Here is a 25,248-nt window from a genome sequence, read left to right on the forward strand (position 1 = left end):
AAAACTGATAAACAAAGAACTCCTGCCCTTGGCAAAGCTCACAGTTGAGCGCAGTAGTTCTCAACCTGGGAGGACTTTGTCCTGAGAGACATCTAGTCATGTCTAGAGACATTTTTAATTATCACAGTTGGGGTGGGTTGCTACTGGCATCTAGTGGGTAGAGGTAAAGGGTGCTGCTAAACATCTTACAATATATAGGACAGAGCCCAACAACAAATAATTATTTGGACTAGAATGTCAAGAGTGCTGAGTTTCAGAAAGCTTGGGAAGAGGAGGATAAATCAACCGATGACAGCTTAATGGAAAGTGATGTATGCCTTGATAGAGTTAGGTCGAGGGTGCCTTGAGAGCTCACAAAAGGAAAAATAAATCCAAGTGTATGGCTGAGAGACAGAGAAGGCTCCCCAGACGAGGTTATGGAGGCTGGGTATGCAGCTTGGGAACCAGCAGCAGAGGAGTGAACAATGAGGCACTGGTTACCCCCAAGAAGAAAGTGTGGAAATAGAGCCAAGAGCTAGGGGTGGAGCCCCAGAGAAGCCAACTGTCAAAAGGAAGCCCAGGAAGAAAAGCCACAAAGAGAGGGAGGAACTGGAAGGGTGGAAAGCAGCGAGATGGCGTGGAAGCCAGTGAAGGAGACTGTTTCAAGAAGGAGAGAATCACTAACAATGTCATATACCTCAGAGAAGCTGAGTGAGATAAACACAGAAAAGTATCTTTAACATAGGTAAAGAGGTCACTAGTCACTTTAAAGAGAGAAATTACAAGTGAAGGAAGTCTTAGAAGTGATGGAGGATAGATTGTCCTAAGCAGAGAAGTCAATGTGGGGAGATAAAAAGTGTGGATTTATCTTCAGGAGGAATGCTTATGATTATTTATAGAGCAGAAAAATTGAAAACAGTCCAACAGTCTAATAAAAAGGTATGAAAATATTTATAAATATATGCAGGAATATACAGCCCCTAACAGGCATACTTTTCAGGAGCATTTAAGGTGAAGGGAATATAGTCGGAATATATGAAAAAATCAAGATGCCAACCATTATTCAGTATGACACCTGCTCTTTTTTTAGGTAGGGAAGAACAAAACTACAAAAAATCCAAAATATTAAATATTAACAGTTTATTCATGCATGGTGGATATGGGCAATTATTATTTTCCTCTTTGTAAATTAATCTCCAAATGTTCTAAAATGAGCATGTCATACTTTTAAAATGAGAAGAAAACTTTCTTAAAAGAAGAAACTTGACTGAGAAAGAACAGAGAAAGTTTTGGCAGTAACTTGAAGGGAACACAGGGAGGGGAAAGGAGTGTGTGTGTGTGTGTGTGTGTATGCACGTGCATACATGTGTGTGTCTGTATTTGAGTTGGAAGCGATGAGAGCATTTTTGTATATTGAGGGGAGACAGACAGTACATGCTGAGAGGCTGAAGATACAGGAGCATGGATGATTGATGGAGCACATCCCTAAGGGAGCAGGAGGGGATGAAATCCAGATCACAGGTGGTGGGATTAGCCTTGGCTAAGAGGAGAGACATCGCTTCAACTGAAAAATGAGGAAAAGAGGTAAGGATGGATGTGGGTGCTGATAAGAGTGTAGAGGAGGGGGCAGGAAGTTGAGGGAGTTACTGTTTGTTGGCGTCTATTTCCTTTGTGAAGTAGAAGGTGAGGTCATTTGCTGAGTGGGGTCAAGGGTTTACAGAGAATGGAGAATGATGGAGATTTGGAAGGGTGGTTATGGAGAAAAAGAGGGAGGAAGGGGACTTGGGACACAGAGATTGCCCAGCTGCCTTGAAAGGCCAGCTGAGGCTGAAGACAGGATCTTTAACAAACAGCACGTATTTGTGTGTCCACATGGCTTTCTCTAACTGTCACATGTTTAAAAATAGACAAAGCAAATAGTGAGACTGATCATAACTTGCAGTTTTTGCAGAAATAATGAGACTGATCATAAGGGCTTTCTGCATAAGGCCCTGTGGAAACATGATTATTTTGAGTGCCTGAAGTAATAAACAATAGAGTTTGTACTGGAAAGGGAGAGAAATAAGCCAGAAGAAGGCTGAAGGGAATGGAAGCCAGGTGAGGTCTACAAGTCCCAGTATTGGGAGACAGGGAGTGAGAGAACTTGAATGGTGAAAGGTTTGGGCTGTGAATGGAATATTGGACGGCAAGATTCTAGTTATGAAAGAGTGCTTGGTGGAGGGGAGAGGCCTCATTAGCTGATGTCTCTATGGACTCTCCCAGCAAGTGTGGCTACTGGACTGTGAAAACACAGTTTCTTATCATATGTGGTACACAGAAACACTCACAAAAAGAAGCAAAATCCTCTGTGTAGATTAAATCACATTCATTCTTTCTCCTCTCTCCACACACACCCACACACATGCACACACACACACACAATTCATACACACATGTATACATACATATATATATTCATACATATGACTTGAAATATTATTCAGAAAATAACATAAACGTTAACAACAGATTCCCAACCAAGAAAAAAGAACACTGGACTTTGTTTCTTTTTTTTTTTCTTTTTTTCTTTATTTTATTGCAGAATGTGCAGGTTTGTTACATAGGTATATGTGTGCCATGGTGATTTGCTTCACCTATTGACACATTCTCTATGTTTCGTCCCCTCACTCTCTACCTCCCCAGCAGGCCCTGGTGTGTGTGTATTGTTCCCCTCTCTGTGTCCATGTGTTCTCATTGTTCAAATCCCACTTATGAGTGAGAACATGCAGTGTTTGGTTTTCTGTTCCTGTGTTAGTTTGCTGAGGAGGATGGCTTCTAGCTTCATCCATGTCCCTGAAAAGGACATGATCTCATTCCTTTTTATGGCTGCATAGTATGGAGTTTGTTTCAATTCCAGATATTTAATTGCTCTATAATTTAACATGACACTTTCACATCAGAAAACTTGATTTTCTCATTGGCAAAATGGGTTAAATTATATCTATTTAACAAGTATTTTTTTAAGAACTAGATTAAAATTTAGAAACATATCTCAGAGTTTTTGAAACCCCAAATATTATAGCTTAATTCACTTATTCAACAAAGATTGATTGGGAACTACAACATGTTTGTATTTGTGCTTGGGGAATTGACTGTGAATAAACCAGACACATTCTTCTCCCTTACAGGTTTAGAATCAAATGGGAGAATTTAAGGGATTATCATATAATAAAGCACCTTTCTTGCCCTGTGTTGTCCTGGCCTCAAGCAATCCTTCCACCTTGGCCTCCCAAAGTGTTGGCATCACAGACATGAGCCATGACACCCAGCCTTGCCCTGTGATTCTATGCTTCACCCTCTTCCAAGACTTAAGCCAGAGTTCTGCCAGGGTCCTCCTACACTCAGGGGTGTCTTCTGAGAAATGTCAGTGTATTAGTTTGTTCTCATGCTGCTGATAAAAAGACATACCCGAGACTGGGTAATTTATAAAGAAAAACAGGTTTAATGGACTTAAAGTTCCACGTGGCTGAAGAGGCCTCACAATCATGGTGGAAGGCAAAGAGGAGCAAAGTCACGTCTTAGGTGGCAGCAGGCAAAAGAGCATGTGCAGGGGAACTGCGCTATATAAAACCATCAGATCTCATGAGACTTATTCACTATCATGAGAACAGCATGGAAGAAACCCACCCCCATGATTCAGTTAACTCTCCCCAAGTCCCACCCATGACACGTGGGAATTATGAGAGCTACAATTCAAGGTGAGATTTGGGTGGGGACACAGCTAAACCATATCAGTCAGGGAAGAAGGATTTTGGTTATCTGTGATCACAATCTGTTAATGTTTCATCTTATGTTACATTTATATTGGTTTAATTATTCAAAATCTTAAATGCAAGCTCCTAATTTTACTTCAGAATGATTATTTTCACATGCTTATATCAATCATACACACATGCACACATATACAGATATGTACAGAAACACACATATATGCATACACACATACATACGTATATATATACACACATACATATTCTGGTAAAAAAAATTTCACGCATAATCAAAGCCCAAAGGAGGTTAAATATTCAGAATATTAGCTCATTAACATTCAGCACATTGGGGATAATGTCTATGTTAATGGTATCCGTTCATCTAACAGAGGGTTGGCATTCATACCTAGGAGTTGAAAGTACATCAAATGCTCCTTGATGAGCTAAGCAAAGTGAAAATGTACGTGCTATTCCCCTAACAAGGAAAGCCGCTGAAGTTTAAATAACAGAAAAGAGCACATGGATAGAGAAAAAGTTAATGCAGAACATTTTGTTGCTTTATTATTCAGTGACAGAGATTAGCCAGTGGGGAATATATATATACATGTGTATATTTACCCATATAAATAAATATAGATTTTAAACTAACAGTCACAAAGGATATCATACATTTCAAATTTGCATACAAATAGTACTTCCTAAAATTGGCAATTTGATTTACTCATCTTCTGAATATCTTCTGCAGGTGTAGTAATAATTTTCAGTATGTCTGGATGCCTAGAATATGTTTAGCAGTGTCCTAAGTATTTTAAGTGGATCCTCTCATTTAATTTCGACAACAATCTCTATGCAGTAGATACTACTGTTATTGAAAATTTACAAATTCAAAAGATGGGGCAACTGAGGCTTTAAGGAATTAAGTAACTTATCTGTCATCGTCATTGCTCCTCATTGCCCCAAAGTAGAGAGAACATCTCAATTCAACAAATCATATTGATTCCACCTTCTAAATATCTCAGGGGTCCACCTTCCTCTCTCCAACCCACTGCTGCAACTCTGGTTCCGGCTGCTGTCAACTGAGTTAATGTAAAGTCTCTGGTAGTCTGACTACTGGAGTTTAATAACCCAAGTGGTTGACTAGTGTTTACAAATAAGCTCATATTAGTTTTGATTACTAACCTCCTGCTGTCACAATAGTCCTAACACCATAATCAGTGTCTCTCAGGTACTTCCGGGTCTTCCTCGAGGGAGTCTTGCACGTGTTGAGGAATGAGTCTGTGCTCAGTTGAGAGCCACCAATACCAGCTGTGGTCTGCCACACCCACCACCCCTGCCCACACTTGGGGTTGCTGCTTCACAGTTCTCAAAACTTTACAATCCTCAGAGTGCAAAGTGACTCTTCATTCCTTTTAGCCCTCAATGACTTTTTTGTCACAAATGAGAGGAACGCTGTCTTCCAAACTGTTTCATTTTGCCACAAAAGAACAGCACTTGTGCTATAAATCTCATATGACACAGTTCTTTCTACTTCTTCCTGAAGGCCTTTTCTCTTGGAGCTCAAATAGCCATTCACCAGGCTCAACAGAGAACACACTTTGTTCGGGGCTGTCCATTCCCTGTCTTTTCCCATCTCTTCTCTCATTTCTCACCATACTTCTTTTTTTTTTTTTTTCCTTCGGGAAAACAGTCAACCAAACAAAGATAAATCAAACTCATATCAATCAATGCAAATGCCCAGTGGATGTAGTGGGCCAGTGTGCAGGATGAAGGATGTGTAGTAAACCCCTTAGTAGTGCACTGGTCATGGCTCATCAGGTTTGCCCATAGCCAGTCTTTGAATTCCAATTTAAATAAATAGGGGTACTTTAAGTCTTCCTTAAATTTAAATATAATCACATTTTTTCATTCTTTAATATACATCAGCGACTTCTCATTGTTTTCTGATTAAGTTAAAATCCCTAAAGATGTTGACAAATTTTTCATTAACTGCTTTCAGTTTTTTCTCTTTCATCAGCGGCAACAACCTTCTCTACCAACCTTGCTTCAAACTCCATGTTCTAGAGAAGGGATGGGCTCTAGCATGTGGGACTATTGCATGATAAACAAACAGCAGTGCATAGAGCTATTGTAGAATGCCATAGTCACTTATTCTGCAAGTTTACAATAATTCCTGTTTCAGTGTCAATTTATAAATAGCTACTAATAACTAAAAGCATGATTTTAAATCTGCAGGTATAAGCAATAACAAGCTTAGTTAACATCTAAGAATGATGAGAACTGTTTTAGCCTTTACTCAAGTTGTGAACAAATATTATGATGATGACTCTGCTGAAGAACCAAGCAGAGGATAAACAATGCCAGTAAATCCTAGGTATTGCAGGTTCATTGACATGTTATAAATCAAATAAAGTTAAGCTTGCCAATAATTGAATATAACCACTTTAACATATTATTTATATTGCTTATTGAGCCTACAAGTATAATTTTGAATAGCAATGTTTGATACTTTACAAATTATAATAGCATGTGCATAAATGTGCATAATAATATTATTTTATGTCTTTCAAGGAGATGAAATAACTTTTATATGCAAGAGTTTATTCATGTAAGCCAGGAACTATTTTAGTGAGATTTACTTTGTTTCTATTGATTCTATTTAGAGCTGAATCTGTAGCACTAAAACCAAATAATACCAGACAAGGTCTTAAACCAAATTGTTAAGCCTTGTCTAATCATATTATATTATCCATTTGTTCTTTGTTCCGTTTGATGAGCATAGTTAAAATCAGGTAACTGAAGTTAACATAACTTGACGCAAAAGCAATGCAAGTTGTATAGCAGAACAGAAAAGTCTATTTTGTGGGCAGTGACCACTAAAAATAATTGTGAGAAATGAGTGTCATAAAAAAAAAATTTGACTGTTGATAGATGTGACAATTTATGACAACTAATGAGACCACTTAGCAGAATCTGCATACCTTTGGTTGCTATAGGCCAAATTATTAAACAGTGTTGTTAGGATAATAGTTTGGTGATGAGCATTGCAGATGAGTTGATAAAAATTATTGACCCATGAGACTAAATACAGGGACTATCTCAAAAACCAATTGTTAGAAGATATGTAAGAACAGAGACACAAAATAATTAAGTACGTGAGGTAACATATATGTTAATTAGATTGATTTAGCTATTCCGCAATGTATACACAGATCAAACATCATGTTTAACACCATGAATATATACCACTCTTATTTATCAATTACAATTAATTTTTCAAAAGAATGGAGCCATCACAACAGATTTAGAAAGATTTGTCTTGTCATCCTCATAAGGATGTAGGGCATTTATGCAAGAAGATTTATTAATATAAAAATATTAGTAAATTATAATAAAAATATATGTAAGAAAAATCAACATGTGCATAATTCTGCATAAGGAGCTAAATGATCATGGAGGCTGAGAAGCACCATAGTAGATGGTTAATGAAGTGGTTAAAGACTGTTAAACAATATCTAGTTGTGACTAGTCATAACTGATGACTGTGGCATTGGTGATGGATATCAGAAAGAAGGCAGAAGTTTGGCTCAATAACACCTTGTTATAACGTATTTTGGTAATAGAGTCAATTTGAGTTTTAAAAAATAAGTCGTTGATAACAATGATATATTAATGATCAATTTCCTTATCCTATTTGGAGAAATACCTGATACTATGAACGTTTAAATAACAATGCTAATTAGATTAGTCTTTTTTGCAGATAAACCACTTATTCTGGAAGAAAAAGTGCTTATCAAATACACTGTCATTTCTTTATTTTATAGATGTGCTCTGAGAGTTCAAATAAAGTTTTCCTAATTTGCATCTTTGTAAAGTGGTAGAGCTGGAGTACAAACCAAGGAGTTTGTTTTTTTCTGAATCCTGTGCACTTTTTAATAACGTCATTTAATTTGCGTAGCAAGGTGTGTGAAGATTAAGTTGCCTACTCTACGCAAAACATAGGTTATTTTTCTGCTGGAATAATCATTTCTAATGCAAATTTGTTCTTATCAACCCTGTTAAACTAATTCAATCCTCAGGCCCAAACTCCTGGAATCTAAAGCTATTTGCTGACTTGCTGTTGCTGTTAGGCTTGAGAGTCAGCCTCCTTAGATAGGGTGCAAGTACTGCATGGCCTCCACAATTCTATTCATTCCCCAGAATCTCCATAACCAGCAGTCTTATGGAGTCTTACGAATAAGGGCTATTCACCCTTATGAATAGCCATGCTGACCTGCACCTGCTCTGTGGCATTTACCAGGTGCCCTGTCACGAGAGTGACTTTCCACATGCTATGCTGTCTACATGGAACATTCTTCTTTCTTTCTTTGCCAAGCTAAACCCTTCTCATTCTTCATCTCTTGGCTCAGAGGAGCTTTTCTTGGTTGCTTCTAATTTAGGACCCTGTACTACTCTTCATAACTCTTACCTCCATTGCTCTTTTATAATTATTTGTGTGGAACTGGGTGAATATTTGTCTCCCTCACCAGATTGTAAATTCAGAAGAAGAGTGACTGGATCTGTTGAGTCCACCATTGTATCTTCTAATTTCTACTATGATTCCTAACACCTAGTAAGCGCTTAATATAATGGATATACGAATGAAAGAATGAGTTCCATGAAAGCCAAGAAATAATTACAAAAGTGTTTTAAATTATCAATGCCTTTTTGTGATATTTATTTTTAAGTTTGAGGAAATACTTAGAAAAGACATTCTTTTCAAAAACCAAAGTATTTTTAGATATTATGTTACATTCATCTCAGCAAATACACCAGAGTATTATTGTTTAAAGGTTTGGTTGTTGAGACAACCACAGTTTTCAATTCTGACCCACAGTGACAAGTTTTCATTCTATTTAAGACATTTTCTTACATGCTATGAGTTGAGCTGTGTGCTTCCTCAAACACTTATCTATTTTAAGGGGAAAGTGTTTTTTTTTTTTAAAGCGGATACTTCTGTTTAAATGCCAAAATAAATACATGTTAAACAATATTCTCTCTGTCTTATTTTTATTTTTAAAATTTTTTGTTATCCAAACATCTTAACATAAACTGTCAGTAATTGGCTCCTAGTTCAATGACAAAAGATATTTGGAATATCTTTACTTTGACCCATGCATGCTTTGGGAGGAAGGGTAAAATAGAGATAAAGTCAAACTTTTCTTGAGTTAGACATGCTTGGTAATTTATACACAAGCAATTGGGTCTAGACGCCAGTGATGAAAAATGTGATTCTCCTAATGTTATGTTTAGTAAGATGTTTTCTTGGAATGAGAGGGTATAAAGATTAATGTCTGATCCTGAAAGAATTGGGATCCTACTTACTTGACCCAGCATGTGATATGTCTGAACCCATGGGTTTTAAAAAATACATTCATGACATATTATCAATGTTAAATCTAGTATATTAACAGAGAAATCTAAAAGTTGTAATTAGTGAGATTTTATTATGGCCACTTACTCCATTTTTTCTTTAAAGCTGTGTTTCGTAATATTATTTTTTAAATTAATGACCTCTGATGAAAACTATAGACTAAATCTTCAGAAAAATTCAGAGATGCACACTCTCATATAATTTTACACACAACTTCAGGAGTTTTATATCCACTAGAATTCTTCCACAGATCCTAGACTGAGAATATCTGTTCAAGATAAATCTATCCAATTCATGTGTCTTAAATAGAAATGATTTATGTTACTTGTCATGTCTCTCGTTATGATATTTTATATCCAGACTCTAATTATCAAAAGGGAGGAATAAAGGAAATGCTCAAGAGATCCATCTTATTCAAACGAAACCTCTTTTTCCCCTCCTTCTCTTCAGGCTATTATCTCTAGACCAGAGCTCTATTGTTCATCCTGTACTGTCCATTGGCTGCCAACCAGACAAGGGATGCTAATCTAGGCCATTGTACAATTTCATCCCTCTCTGGGCTGTTATGTAATTAAAATAACTTCAGTGTGCTCTCTTGAACATTTTTTTCTACAGGCAATTGTAAAAATATAGAAGTTAAAAAGCAAATGAAGGAAGAAAAATATAATTTGTTTTCTTTACTTTTCTATTGCAAAAGACATTACTTATTGTGGACTTGTTATTTATTTAATTTCAAAATTGGAATATAGTTTCTTTTGTATTTTGTACTGCAGAAAAATATCTATTGATTTAAAGTGGTCATTTTCCAAGAATGCTTCAAGGCAGTTGAATTTTAAACATTTCTAAAGCAACTAGTTTTCATATATATATATATAAATGCATAGTGCAACCAAATTAGTAATTTATTTTCTCCTGGAACCTTTATGTCTGAGGATACCAGAAGCAATTTAAATATTCTGTATATAGGTAGTAACTTTTACCAACATTCTACCCAATTGAGAAACAGTGTTGTTAAATAGGTGCAGCTTCACATAGGTCAATGCCAACACTAAACTAAGTCCCTAAACCTCAATCCAGAATCATGGGTTAACTAAACATACACACTCTCTCCCATTGTGTGTGCATACAAACACTGGTTACTCTTGAATCCAATTCCCTCTGCTTCTGTTGGTGATACTTCAGCTGAAAGCTTTGTAGCATTCAGCTACCAACAGTCCTGTCTTATAAGTCACATTATTGTTTTGGATTCTTCATGATTTGAAAACAAGAATATTTGATTTGCAAAATTTTACCTCTCGTTAGCACTTTTTTTTTTTTTTTTTTTTTTGGTATTTTGTTCGCTGGCATGAAAAATGTGCTAGGCAAAAACTCCTGTTTAAAATGAGAAGAACGTGAGAAGGAGAGAGTGACCTACCCTCACTGGAAGTGACCAGTGAGTACCTGGGGGCAATACTTCATCTCCTTAGAGGCTCACCACTGTTACAAGGGGCCACCACTTGGCCCTAGAGGGAAGACTGGTAGAAAACAGTGAGCGCATTCTGTTGCTGGTGAGCATACACCTGTTAATCCAGCTTCCCTGAACTGTGCACCGCACTTGCGTACTAGAATTCAGCAATGCTATCCATAGCTAGGGAGAAGGGGGAATAATAAAGATCCTCACACGTTTGTTAAAGATACCCTCTACCTTAACCAAATTTTTACTGAGCACTTCACCTTCCACCTCTTATGGATTGATTTACAATTTCCTTTTTTTTTTTTTTTTTGAGACGGAATTTTGCTCTTGTTGCCCAGGCTGGAGTACAGTGGCGCGATCTCAGCTCACTGCAACCTCCGCCCCCCAGGTTCAAGTGATTCTCCTGCCTCAGCTTCCCAAGTAGCCGGGATTACAGGCATGTGCCATCATGCCTGGCTAACTCTGTATTTTTAGTGGAGATGGGATTTCCCCATGTTGGTCAGACTGGTCTCCAACTCCTGACTTCAGGTGATCCACCCGCCTCGGCCTCCCAAAGTGCTGGGGCAATTTCTTAAAATCACAAGGGATAAAAATATTTTAGCATAAACACACACAACATATAATTGTACAGATGTACAAATATAAAAATATATATACAAACTATATAATGTATCACTACATAAATATGTGATATGTTACAAAACATGCACACCAATAGAAATTAAGAAAGGAGATAAAAATGAAATAAACATTATTTTAAAATTAATTTTGAGATAGTGGGATAGAAACTTTTTTACTATGATTTTAAAAAGTGTTTTTAACAACTTTATTAATATATTCATATATGCTATATGCTTTACTCATTTCTATGTACAATTCAGTGGTTTTTCGTATAGTCACTGAATTGACTGGTGCAACCATCACCAGAGTCAATGTTAGAACATTTTCATCACCGCCCAAAAGAAACTGTACCCATTAGCAGTAACTTCATCCTCCTACAACCCTAGGCAACCACTAGTCCACTTTTTGCCTCCATAAATTTGTGTGTTCTGCATATTTTATGTAAATCGTATTGTATGGTATGTGTTTTTTTGTTTGTTTTTTTGTTTTTGAGATGGAGTCGCGCTCTGTCCCCCAGGCTGGAGTGCAATGGCGCGATGTTGGCTCACTGCAATCTCCGCCTTCCAGGTTCAAGCAATTCTCCTGCCTCGGCCTCCCAAGTAACTGGGATTACAGGTGCACGGTGCCACGCCTCGCTAATTTTTTTGCATTTTAGTAGAGACGGGGTTTCACCTTGTTGCCCAGGCTGGTCTCGAACTCCTGAGGTTAGGCAATCCACCCGCCTCGGCCTCCCAAAGTGTTAGGATTACAGGTGTGAGCCACCGTGCCTGGCAGGTGTGTGGTCTTTTGTGACTATTCTCTCATGTTTTCAAGGTTCATCCATGTTGTAGCATGTATCACTGTTTCTTTCCTTCTTACGGCTAGATAATATTCTATTTTATGGATAAAGCGTAATTTTTTTATCCATTTATCAATTGGTGGACATTTGGATTGTTTGTACTTTGGGCTTTCACGAATAGTGCTGCTATGAACACTCAAGTACAAGTTTTTATGTGGAAGTATTTTTTCATTTTTCTTAGGTGTATACATATTATTGAAATTGCTGGGTCATAGGGTAACTTTATATTTAACCCTTTGAGGGAGCACAAACTGTTTCCAAAGTGGCTGCATCATTTTACACCCCCACCAGCAGTGTATGAAAATTCCAATTTCTCTGCATCTTCCACAGCATTTGCTTTTTATTTTTTATTTATAATAAACATTCTAATTGGTGTGAAGTTGTAAATTGTTGGGGTTTTGATTTACAAATCCCTGATAGCTAATGAAGTGAGCATCTATTCACAAGCCTATCTTTTTTAGACAAATGTCTGTTCAGAACTTTTCCCATTTTTAAATTGGGTTGCCTGTTATCTTTACCTGTTCACCTCATTTTCAATTGGATTGCCTGTTAGTATTGATTATTGTGTTTAAGGATTCTTTCCATATTCTGGATACAAGTCTCTTGCCAGATACATGATTTGCAGATATTTTCTCTAACTTGTGGGTTACCTTTCCACTTACTTTATGGTGTCCTTTGAAGCACAACATTTTTTAACCTCAATGAAGCCTAATTAACCTATTTTTTTCTCTTCCTTTTTTTTTTTTTTTTTTTTTTTTTTGAGATGGAGTTTTGTCTTGTCGCCCAGGCTGGAGTGCAATGGCACGATCTCGGCTCACTGCAACCTCCATTTCCTGGGTTCAAACGATTCTCCTGCCTCAGCCTCCCTAGTAGCTGGGATTACAGGCTCACACCACCACGCCCAGCTAATTTTTGTATTTTTAGTTGAGATGTGGTTTCACCACGTTGGCCAGGCTTGTCTTGAACTCCTGACCTCAGGTGATCCACCCACCTTGGTCTCCCAAAGTGCTGGGATTACAGGTGTGAACCACCTTGCCTGACTTAAGTAACCTATTTTTTTGGGGGAGGGGGTCTCTTTTGCCTTTGGTCTTATACGCAAAAAAAGTACTCCTCTATTTCGTCTGAGAATATTATAGTTTTAGATCTTACATTTGGTTCCATGATCCATTTGGAGTTAACTTTTGTGTATGGCATGAGGAATGGAGTTTTACTGTATTCCTTTGCGAAAATGCGATGGTGGTTATGCAGTTGTCCCTGTTCTATTTGTTACAAAGTCCTTCATGGAGGAAGAATTTTTAAAATATTTTGCCCTGCTGAATTGTCTTGGCACCTTTGTTGAAAATCAATTCATCGTAAGTGTAAGAGTTTATTTCTGGATTATCAATTCAGTTCCATTGATCTACATGTCTATCCTTAAGCAAGGAACACACTGTTTTAATTACTGTACCTGTATAGTACAGTAAGTTTTGAAATTAGACTCTTCTTCCTATATTAGGATATCTTCATAGAGTTTATATATGTGACCTTTGATGCAGGAAATGGGTAGAAATGGTAGTATCTATCCATATATCAAATACTGGTATAATTTATGTTCTTTCTTATATTTTAATTTAAAAATTAAATATGAGAAGCTCTGGTATTTTCTTCTGCACCTGAACAAACTGGCTCATGCTATTGAATTGAATTATTTTCTTAAAGTTTGCATTTTAATTAATTTATTTAATTTTAATTATAATTACATTTAATTTTAATAATGTTTTAATGGATTTATTCTTTTGTTTCAAATCATCATATTAAGTTCCCAATTTATAGTCTTCTTAATTTTTCAGTCCCTTTAGTGTCATTAACGGCTTTCTTACTGAGTGAATTCAAAATGATAATATGTTGAAATTTTAAAGACAAAATATACTTAATTATACATATTACTGTGTTCATTTATCTATCAGTGAAATTATTTCATAGTTGGTACAGATTAATGTATATCTTATGAATATATGACCTGAAAGTAAATTCACATACTTTACCTTAGTAAAAAAAAAAAATGTGTTACCAAACGTATTTTTATGCTCTTTTCTTTTTTTTTTTTCTTTTCTTCTTTTTTTGAGACAGAGTTTCGCTCTGTCACTCAGGCTGGAGTCCAGTGGCCTGATCGTGGCTCACTGCAGTCTCAGCCTGCTGCATTCAAGTGATCCTCCCACCTCAGCCTCCTGGGACTACAGGCATTTGACAACACGCCAACTAATTTTTTTGTTGTTTAATTTTTTATAGAGATAGGGTCTCCCTATTTTGCCCAGGCTGGTCTTGAACTCCTGGGCTCAAGCATTTCTCTGCCTTGGCCTCCCAAAGTGCTGCGATTATAGTGTGAGCCGCTGTGCCCAGCCTATTTTTATTTTCTTTTTTCATTTATTTTTACATTTTCTCTCTTAATTTCTTCTTCTTCTACAAAAATGTAGTGTTTACAGTAAAGGTATCTGTATGTGGAAGGTTAGTTATTATAATAATATTGGTGTTTTATGTATGACAAACATGCCATAAGCATTAATTCTATTTTTGAAAAATTATTAAACAATTAATATGTATAAATATTACAACAATGAACACTCATAACATCCAGCTTAAGAAATAAAACACTACAGGTACAATTCAAGTTTCCTATGTATCTCTCTCCTATTGCCCCTCTCATTCCTTCCCTTCTGAATTTGCTGTTTATTTTTTCATGTATGTCTTTACTTTTTATTAATTTCATTAACATACTTAATATGTGATATTAATTTGCAAATTTTGGAAATAAAAATTTTTCATATATTCTTTTGCTTTTTTTCACTCACCATATTTGCGATAGTTTATAGTAAATATAAACTATTTGTACTAAATGTTCGTGAATTCTTCTTTAAAGTGTTAAAACAATTTACTCTCCTCCAAGTAGTCTATGAGTGTCTCTTGCTCTGTATTTTCAGAGTATGCATTATGATTTATGATTTCTGTCATTTGCTCTTGCTAAAGTCCATGATGATATTGATTCTAGCCCATGAGTAACCACCCACAGGTCAGGAAGCAAATGTGATCATCCAGAGCAAAGTGAAAACCCAGAAGCTATACATTTGGTCCCTGTGCGATAGCAACAAGAAAGCAAAGCAAAACAAAACAAAACAAAACAAAACAGAAAAAAATCTGTTATTACAAAAAACGGAACCATGTAATTTCCTTAACTCAGGGACCTTAGCACTTCGTAGTCTCCATTAGCAGGCCACCCCCAAGAAAATATTTAATTCTAAGCCAGAACATTATGCTTGTCATACAAAGACCTTCTAGAACTATCCCTACCCACTTTCAAATGATGGCAATGCCTATGCCCTACCACTTAGAATGATGGGGCCACAAAGGCATTGATGTTTTACTAGGCAATATTGAGGAATTTACAAAATAGTTGCATAACAACTCTTCTGTCAAAGTAATTACATGAATTTTATCAGTGGGAGTGGACAGATGTTTGAGCACAGTGGCCTTAGACCACACCATATAATGAAAAGTTGTCTTACACATCTCAGTTAGCTGAGAGTATTTTCCAGAATGACCATCTGGCAAAATAACCCATCAAAACAAAGTCCCCAGGTGAATCAGCTGAAAAAGAAAGACGAATACTTTGACTGCATAAAAAATAGACTCAATAGAGAATATGTAAAATAAATGTTAATAAAAAATGCTTTTGTGGAGAGCATGTTAACTATTCATTTAAGGGGGGTAACACATTTTCTAATGGTGCTCAATAAGTAAAATGTTAACTTGGGTATTTATCTAATTTTTATTAACAGTAGATTCTGAACTGTTTGACATTTAAATTTTTCAGCACTGTAAGAGAGAAGCATGCTCTTTCATACTTACTTAGATGTATAAACATGAATAAAATTATCTCAGTAAAACTACTAATGGTAAAAAAACTGGCTTAGTGAAACACTTCAATCAGTTCCAGAGACAACAGAAAAATGTAATTTCAGCTTTCAAGCTCAAGAAGGATGCTTTTGTTAATGAGGCTGGGTATCTATCCTAAAATAAAAGTGACCTGGCATTTAATGATAACTCAGTGATTAATATGCAGTATAATAACATGTGGTTTACTGGATTATTATAACTCTCCTTATACATTGAAAGCCATATTTCATTTGTAAAAGTGTATAATTGCAATCAACTCTTTGAATAAACTTCTCTCTTCTATAGTCCTATTTTGAAAGAAAGTTCAAAAATGTTTGGCCCATCTCTGTTCATAGTTCCAATAATTATGAATCTGTCCTAATAAAGTGTTTGGAAGATTTAACTGTTTAGTTTAAATAACATTTACCATTTTTTTTAATTACAGTTTTAATATAGGTAATATGCAGAAAACTTGGAAACGACATGAAAGTTCAAAGGAAAAATAATCCTCAAATCACTGGACCTTTTCTCACATTATCTCTTGGCTCCAACACAAAATAATTTTAGGATTTCGTCCCTTGGTAATCATTTTGTCTGGACTCTATTTCTCATATTTTTTTTCTCAGCCATTTCTTGGTTATTTTGTGTTGTGATTGCTTATAATATGTTTCCTTGTTTTATCCTATCCTTATAATAAGATCTTAAGGATGATTTTATATATATCTCTCTCCTTATTATGCATTCATTTAAAACTGAAAAATATATATTATTAAAGCCCACTATGTGTGAAACACTGCATGGGAATGATATGCATGGGAATATATAACAGCCAAAGGTCATCTCTTCATGGAACTTACTAACTACGGTTAAGGTGCAAGTGCCTAAATTTTGTTGCCAACCCACAACATCCTTAATCTCCTTTGCTGTCTGTACAGTGCAGCACAAGGACTGTTGCCTTTTGGTTGAGCAATAGATATTGGATGAACAGTTATAAGTAAGGAACAAATTAATATTAGACAAGTAGTTATTTGTTTCTTACTTATATTGCCATATTCCTTCTGGTAGACACTGGACAGGTAGGATGCTGCTTACTGAATTGTGAAATTTTATACTATGATGTAACATTTATAAAATGCTTTTGAGTTAGCAAACTGTTTTATCTTACAGGGTTTCAGTGAAGCTCAAGTAGAACAATACTTACTTACTATTAAAAAAAAAGAAAGGTAGCGGGTGGTGTTATTTAAATGGAGTCCTTACGGTATCAAACTACTCATTAACAGGAAAAATATTTAGTAACCCCAGTCATCTAAAACATGGCCATGTGATAAAAAAAGAAACATGGCCTTTCATTTCCAAATATCTATTGCATTTTCTTAATGCACAGACAAAATAATATGGCTTCTAGAAAGTATGAGAAAATATATAAAATGCAGCAGAAAATAAGTTAAAAGATGAGTTATATCCAGTTTCTGGTTCAACGAGCTTTCAACGTTATACAAGGAAAGATCATGTTACACACACACAAAAATGTGCATGCACACACCCATGCAAAATGTATTTAGAGCTTCTCCTTGCATTTGTCACCTGGTTAATTCCAATTTGTCTTTCATATTTAAAATTAAACATCACTTTCTTAAACAAAATTTCCCTGAACCTCTTCAACAGGTTTTTCTTAAAAGTTTTTCATATCATCCCGAATTTTTCCTGTATAGCACTCACTGTATTTATAATTACATTGTTGTACGAACATCATAGAGTATACCTACACAGACCTAGATGGTATAGCCTACTATGTACCTAGGCCATATATGATAGCTTACTTTTCCTAGCCTACAAACCTGTACAGCATGTTACTATACTGAATACTGTAGGCAATTTGTGTATATAAACATAGAAAAGGTACAATATAAATACAGTTTATTATAAAAGGTAAAACATAATATACCTGGATAAGGCACTTAGAATGAGTGGAGCTTGCATAACTGGAAGTTGCTGTGGGTGAGTCAGCGACTGGCTGATGAGTGAACATGAAGGCCTATGACATTATTGCATGGTACTGTAGACATCATAAACACTGTACACTTAGGCTACACTAAATTATTAAAAATAAAGTAATTGTGCTATGACATTAGGAAGGCTCATACGTCAGTAGGTGAAAGGGATTTTTGTGTTCCATTATAATCTTCTGGGCCCAGTGTCATATATGTGGTCTATCCTTGACCAAAATGTTGTTATGGAATGCATGGCTGTCTTTAGTATCTGTCTCCTTACTAGAGAATAAGCATAAAAAAGGTTCTGCACACTAGCAAAGTGTCCAGCATGGAGTGTGAGCTCAAGAAATAGTTACTGCATGCAATAACTCTAATATATAAAAGACTATGGCAGGGAAAGGAGAGAGAAAAACAAAATGTGATGGGAATGTAACAGAAGGGGAAAGCGCAATTAATGTGTGTTCAAAAAACACTGTGAAATTTTAAGTGGACCTTAGAGGATGTGTGTAGTGCTGAATGTGGAGCTTCATAGCCACACATAGAGGGGTGATCTAGAAAGGATGGCTTGGAAGAAGCATGAATGTTCATGGTCAACATATCCATGAGACACAGCAGACACAGTGCCCAAAGCCTATGATATGCTTGCTGTTAGGGGCCCACAAAACATTTTAAATTTTAATTTCTTAATCAGAAAAAAATGAATCTAATCATATGAATATATAATAATGAATCCAATATATGCCAATGTAGGCTTAAAATGTAGTTTTTAATACTATTTTTTGAAGTCCACAAAGGTAAAATTGCACAGGGCCCCTGAAAGTCATACTGCAGCCCTCGGAATGATATCTGATATTCAGTAGATAGTATTCGGTTAGAACTTAGAAAAGAATAAATGATCTAAGGCTTAAAATGTAGGTTAGCCTCAGGTAAAGGAGAGTACAAATGACAGGCTGTAGAGATTCTTCAAATTTGGGTTGACTTCGGAGTCTTTTTGTGTTAATGTCTTGCTTACTGCAGGGCTTCAGGAAGAGAATTCTTGCAGGAAGGAATAGGACTGGTTGGTATTAGAAGTTGGGTGATCAGTTAGGAGCTTTTTGCCATGTCTTACATGGGAGCTGAAGAAATTATAGTAGAAAGAAAGGGAGGAGATGGATATTACAAAAAATCAGATAAACATGTACCCAGGAATTGTAGATCATATGTGGAAAAGCTTCCTTTTCCCGACATAACCCCCCAAATCATAATTATATATTTGTGTTCCCTGTAACAGTGAGTTCCATATGAGGAAGGACTATATTAATCTTACTGCTGTGTCCTCAGAACACTGAACACAAGACACTCAAGAAAACAGGAGAGTTAGACTCTTGTAAAAGTGTATAAACCATTGTAGCTAGAACTAGGTCCCTGACCAATCCATCCCAATCATCGAAGCGAATGCCCAAAGCCTCAATATGTGAAATATACCTTCCAATTGATTGATGGTTTGATTATTCTGTAGAGCAAAACAGAAGTAACAACATACACATTAGTTATAACCTATTTTAAAGTTGATTTTAAATCATTCTTTTTTCTAAATTCAGAAATCTCTGCTTATGGTCTGTAATTAAATCTATATTTATAATCCAAATTTATAGATTTATATGCAGCATTAACTCATATCATGTACAGAGAAAGCTACAATTACGTAAAACCACATAATACGCAATGAGTACAGTTGTGTTGTATACAGATTTGTTAGCTTTCTCAGTAAGTTTCTCAGCCAGTGTAATTTGTACACTTAGCATGTACCAAGCCTTGAGTGAAAATACAGGATGAGTATGACCTGTGATGGCACATATTAGGTAGAAGGGGAGCACCTAGTCTAGCAGGAAGGTTAAGGCAAGGCCTTAACTAAGGAGAAGTAATGTCTGCCTCAAGTCTTGAAAGAACAAATGCTAGTCAGATAGGAAGCAGAAGCAGAAGAGCACACACATTTATAAAATTACTAGAATTAGACGTTTAAAAATACTTTGGTAACATTTGGAGCAACAGTTTCTTTATCCATGGCAAGAGAGTATTATGTTTTTTACCACTGTTCAGCTATTTTTCACATTCGTTAGGAAAGATAAATAAAAACAGCATAAAGATTATGAACTCCCTCATGTTGAAGATAAAATATTCAGTGTAGTATATATATTTTTGATAAATATTTTTATTAATAAATAAATAAATTCTTTATTAATAAATAAAATTTTGAAAGAATATATATTTAAAATATATATTTTGAAATACATACCTTTTTTTGCACAAAGCTCGCTGTGTAGCATTGATGATTAAATAAGCTGCCTATCTGTGTTTGAGAATATCTTTTCTTGGAGACAGAGGAAGAGACTAACTGAATCTTCCATAAAATTCCAAACTGTGATTCACTGATTCGGTAAGTTGGGAAGGATGAAGAATAATAACAGCGTTAAATCACTGAGGATATATTTAATAGTATATTAAAAACCAAATAATTTTATAGTGTTGAAATTATACCATACAAACTATGAAATATTCATTTTCTTCTATACCAATATATGAAGACTGAAAGGTGTCAAAATATAATTGTGTAATTGGTCATTTTTAGAGACATCCATAGAATTCATAAACAATATTCACTGAAATAAATTCAGGAGAGAATTTTCAGAATTAGGCCTCACTGGCAGTTTGAAAGTGTTGAATTGTTCTCCCACGTTGTGTGGCAGTTCTGGGGCTGTATTCAAAACGTTGGTATCTAGGTAGGAAATGAGTCAAAGTCGACGTTACTCTTGAGGTTAAAGGTCTGTTTCTTTCAATCAGTTCAAACTGACAGGCCTCCTGCCATCACCTCCTCCTTAGCCAGGCAGACAGGCCCTGGCCGTCAGTGTGAAAACATCTGTTGAATGGATTTATTGACTGGATCTTGTTTTTTCTCTCCCTTTCTCTATTTTTTTTTTCTTTTTCCTTCACACCGTTTATTATGTCTCTGACCTGATGAACTTAATTTGTTGACATGTCGCTCAGTGTCTCCCTCAATCCTTGTCTCACATTTCTTTCTACTGTGCTCTTTTCTTGGCAACAGCCTTTCCTGGAACCCACGCACACACGTGCGCTCTCTGTGCGCCAAGCTCCGCTGGCTGCGGTTGGCATGGATGGATTAGAGAAACACCGTCTCGTCTCCAGGACTCACTCTTCCCCTGCTGCCTCTGTTTTACCTCACCCAGCAATGGACCGCCCCCTCCAGCCTGGCTCTGCAACTGGTAGGAATCCCTAAAGACTCTCTCTAATAGGCAGGCTAAATGCCCCGTTCTTGTAGGATTAACCGATTTAAATGCTCTGAATAACTCCAATAGCAGAACACTCCATTTTAACCCAGTGCAACCCAAATTTTACGAGGTTATATTGGCTATAAGACAAACAGCACATCTGATAAATCTTGGGCTTAGTACTAATAGCCTCATAAATTGCTATCATCCAAGGGCCTGGAAAATACATCAACAGGTGCATGAGTTTTTTGGAAATGAAAATCCCTGCAACATTCTTTAGCAGTGTTCCTCAATCTCTACTCTTACCTTCTGCCCAGTCACTAGGAAATTGATGATGCTTGGCTTCCTCATTTGACTCCAAAGAGTACCCTTTAACCAGTTTGTTTTTTTGTTTGTTTGTTTTATTTCACTGTTTTCTTCTGGTTCCCCATGCAAATGACTCATGGGATTCTATAGTACCAAAGCAAACTTCACTTGATTCTATGTATGTTACTTTCATTTCTATTCATTATGGAATCTCTGGGTGGGCTTTTCGACCAACCTCTTCCTTTGTCTACAGCTGTGTTTGATATTTCAGAACCTGACTACAGAGGAAAACAAGCCAGATAATTCCAAGGCCAAAGGAAGGTTAAGTGTGGAACACACACACACACACACACACACACACACACACACACACACACAAAGGGTGCTATTCCCTCTGCAAAGGAACAGTGCTGTACATATATGCGTGGATAATTATTTCTTTTTGTGTACTCTACTCCATTCTAGTTCCGTGTTCTCAAACTGTGGCTAATCAAATGAAATATATTGTAGCCCTAAGAGACTCATAACTTGGATACTGCAGAAAACGAATTTATATGTACCTTCCCCAAAGGCTCTTTTGAGTTCTCTGATTTATTTTAAAATCCATTTTCAGGATTCAGAGCTTGTTTTTGTGGCTTCTGTGACCTCATGCAAGCCTTCGTGCTTGGAAAAGTTAAATCTATTTTCTAAAACCATATTCCCAAGCCTTGATATTATCTTTAGTTTAAAAATTAATGAATGAAATAGCCAAGTTAATTACCTTTGGTAGGCATCTTTAATAAGTATGCATAGAAGTGACTTTTTATAATGTTTTATGCCATAAGAAAACATTCCATACTAGGAGCTATGAGCTGGGTCTATTTCTTTCTCCGTACTAGCCATTGCCTCTGACTCTTCTACTTCCAGGAGCATAGCAAAACTGCCCAGATATTCCGGAAAACCCAGGAACACTGCCCAGTGTTAGTGGCAGCCTTTTGAATCAATCATGCCTGGTGCTATCCCTGTGGATTCACCGAGTTTTTGCTCAAAACCAGATACATGATACAGAGGAATAATTTTTTGCATGTAGAAAGAGCAATAGCCTTTAAGAATTACTTACTCTCTATTCTTTCTCCTGAAAGTGTCTTTTATTCAACCCTAATATTTCAGAAAATACAGAGTAACAACCATTCTATCAAAATAACTGTTTCCATTGACTGAAATAATTTCCTTAATATTATAATAATATTAAAAATTAAAAATAATATTAAAAATAAATTCCTTAAGTAAGCTTAACTACAAAGTTTCCTGTTGATGTGCCCAAGTTTGCTACTGTATATTACTGTAATCCTATGGATAAAGTTTCTTTCCTTGGTTAAGAGGGGTGGCCCTTTTCTGACATACTTCAGTGTCTTCTAGTTTTCATATGTTCCTTTGAATGAATGAAGCAAGACATCTGAATATTAGAGAGAACCTGGAGTTTAAGGAAACTGTGTTGCCAAATGGATAGGGTTTGTAGACCTTAGAAGAATCCAGATGCAAGGGTAGACTGTAAACCCAGCAACATAAACAGGACATAATCCTACCCTGATCATTCAAACAAAGACTAGGTCATTTCAGAGAGTTAGGTTTTTTTCCCCCTCATAATGTCAACATTTTAGTATTTATCAAAGCATGTATTCCAAAAACAAATAGGAAAGTGAACTTAAGATTCTTTTTATATATAATGGATTTGATAAGGCAATTCCTTGTCCACATGAGATATTATATAAAATTATTTTAGAAAACACAGGATTTTGTACTTAATAGGCATTCAATAAACATTTTAGTTGAATCAATGAATATTAATTTCATAATAAACACGAATTTACTAGTTCAAATTTGAATACACTGAAAGTAAAAATTACATTGTAACTATTGTTCCGCTAAAGGATAGCTAAGTTATTTACAAGTTACAATAACTAAGAGGAATATTTGTTAGCTCATTTGAACTTACAAGAATGTTGCATCTTTACACTGAAAATCTTACAAGAAAAACGCACAATATTTTAAAATCATGCAACATATGCAATTTATAATAATAGCTTCTCCACTGGCATTGGGATTAAAATATATATATACTTGATATGTAACATTCATTTAGTACTATTCCAAATCCTAAGGAAATGAAATGCACCATCTTCACTCTGCTATTCCACATATTGCTCTGGCTTTAATCCAATCTTAAATTTCCCCTGTAGCCTGAAAACTACTGTAATCCACATGATCTCAAAAATCACTTTAGTATTTCTAATGATCTTGATTTCAGATGAGAACTGTAAGGTTTTCATTCTAGTATGATTGAAAATATATCTTTTAAGCACTAATCTCCTTTCTTTTGACTTTTTAATATCTATTTGTTGCAGACATGTTAAACAATCTAAAGGAACATTCACCTATGTTCTTTAGGAATACAGTAGACCTTCTTATCTGCATGGGGGCTATTCTAAGACTCCCAGAGAATGCCTACAACAGCCAGTAGTATTGAACCAGTTGAGGTCAATAGGAACCCATTTCTGTTCATGTCTTCCACCCATAAATTTATGGTCTTTTCCATCTTAACTAAGCACTTTTCACATGCTGTGGCCATAGCTTTTGTAGTGTGAGGTGTGGTGGGACAGAAAACAATCACAAATTTCTTTTTTCTTCATCACAACTTCAGGGATAGAAGATTCCTTCTTACTGTAGAGCTTAGCAACTTTAGCATATGATTTTTTTTTAAATTTCCTTAAGTCAAGAACTTAAACCTTTCATTCAAAGGAAGCCCTTTAAGGCTTGTCTTTGGCACATCCAAACTGTTAGCATCACTACTCTTGCACTTTGGAGCCATTATGAAGTAAAAAATAATTAAAAGCATGCACTGGTGACACTGCCACAGTCAACCTGTCATCCAGACAGCTACTAAATGACTAATGGGCAGGTGACATAGAGAGCATGGAGCTGCTGGAGAAAGGGATAATTCACATCCTGGGCAAGCCGGAGTGGGGCACTGTAAGACTTCAACATGCTGCTCAGAATGATGCGCAATTTAAAACTTAGAATTTGGTTGTTATATAATTGTGTATTTCTGGAATTTTCCAGTTAATATTCTCAAACCATAGTTGAAACTGTAGAAAGAGAAACTGCAGATGGGGGAGGGGAGAGGCTATTTGTATTTGTATTTTTTTTTTAAAATAAACTCATACGATCTCACATTCTCAATAGCTGTTCCACTAAATAGCAAGGTAGCGGACACAGACACATTATAAAGCTAGGCGGCTGGCTTAAATCTATCCTCTAAGAGCTATACTTTTTGGTGCTACTAAGAAGTTATTTAACACAAAAGTCACATAATTTTCAATGCACATCATTTAAACCTTCACCATCCATGTGCATCCTCCACAGCCCACTGGATTAGGCACACAACTCCCTTTTTGACAAGAACAAAAAATGTTCCAAGGGAGAAATATTATCTGAGTTTAGTCAGTTTTGGAAAGATGCTGTCTTCATTCTATTTCCTGAGAGCAGAAAGTAGGCATAAATTGCATAAAATTATTTTTAAAGATAATTTTTTTTGAGACGGAGTTTTGCTCTTGTTGCCTAGGCTGGAGTGCAATGGAACGATCTTGGCTCACCACAACCTCCGCCTCCCGGGTTCAAGTGATTCTCCTGCCTCAGCCTCCCTAGTAGCTGGGATTACAGTCATGCACCACCACACCCAGCTAATTT

At 36.0% G+C, this 25,248-nt stretch overlaps 1 protein-coding gene across 6 annotated transcripts in view; it reads left to right on the plus strand.

The window, feature by feature from the left end:
- The window catches only part of HDAC9 (histone deacetylase 9), a 915,592-nt gene that overhangs the window by 619,723 nt on the left and 270,621 nt on the right, over positions 1-25,248 (plus strand). For all 6 annotated transcript variants that reach the window (NM_001321868.2, NM_178425.4, NM_001321877.2 and 3 more), the window contains one exon: positions 21,033-21,210. In NM_001321868.2, coding sequence (NP_001308797.1) covers positions 21,033-21,210 — 178 coding nt within the window. The remainder of the gene's footprint in view (positions 1-21,032; positions 21,211-25,248) is intronic.

Source organism: Homo sapiens, chromosome 7 (genome assembly GCF_000001405.40).
Source record: "Homo sapiens chromosome 7, GRCh38.p14 Primary Assembly".
NCBI classification, from domain to species: domain Eukaryota; kingdom Metazoa; phylum Chordata; class Mammalia; order Primates; family Hominidae; genus Homo; species Homo sapiens.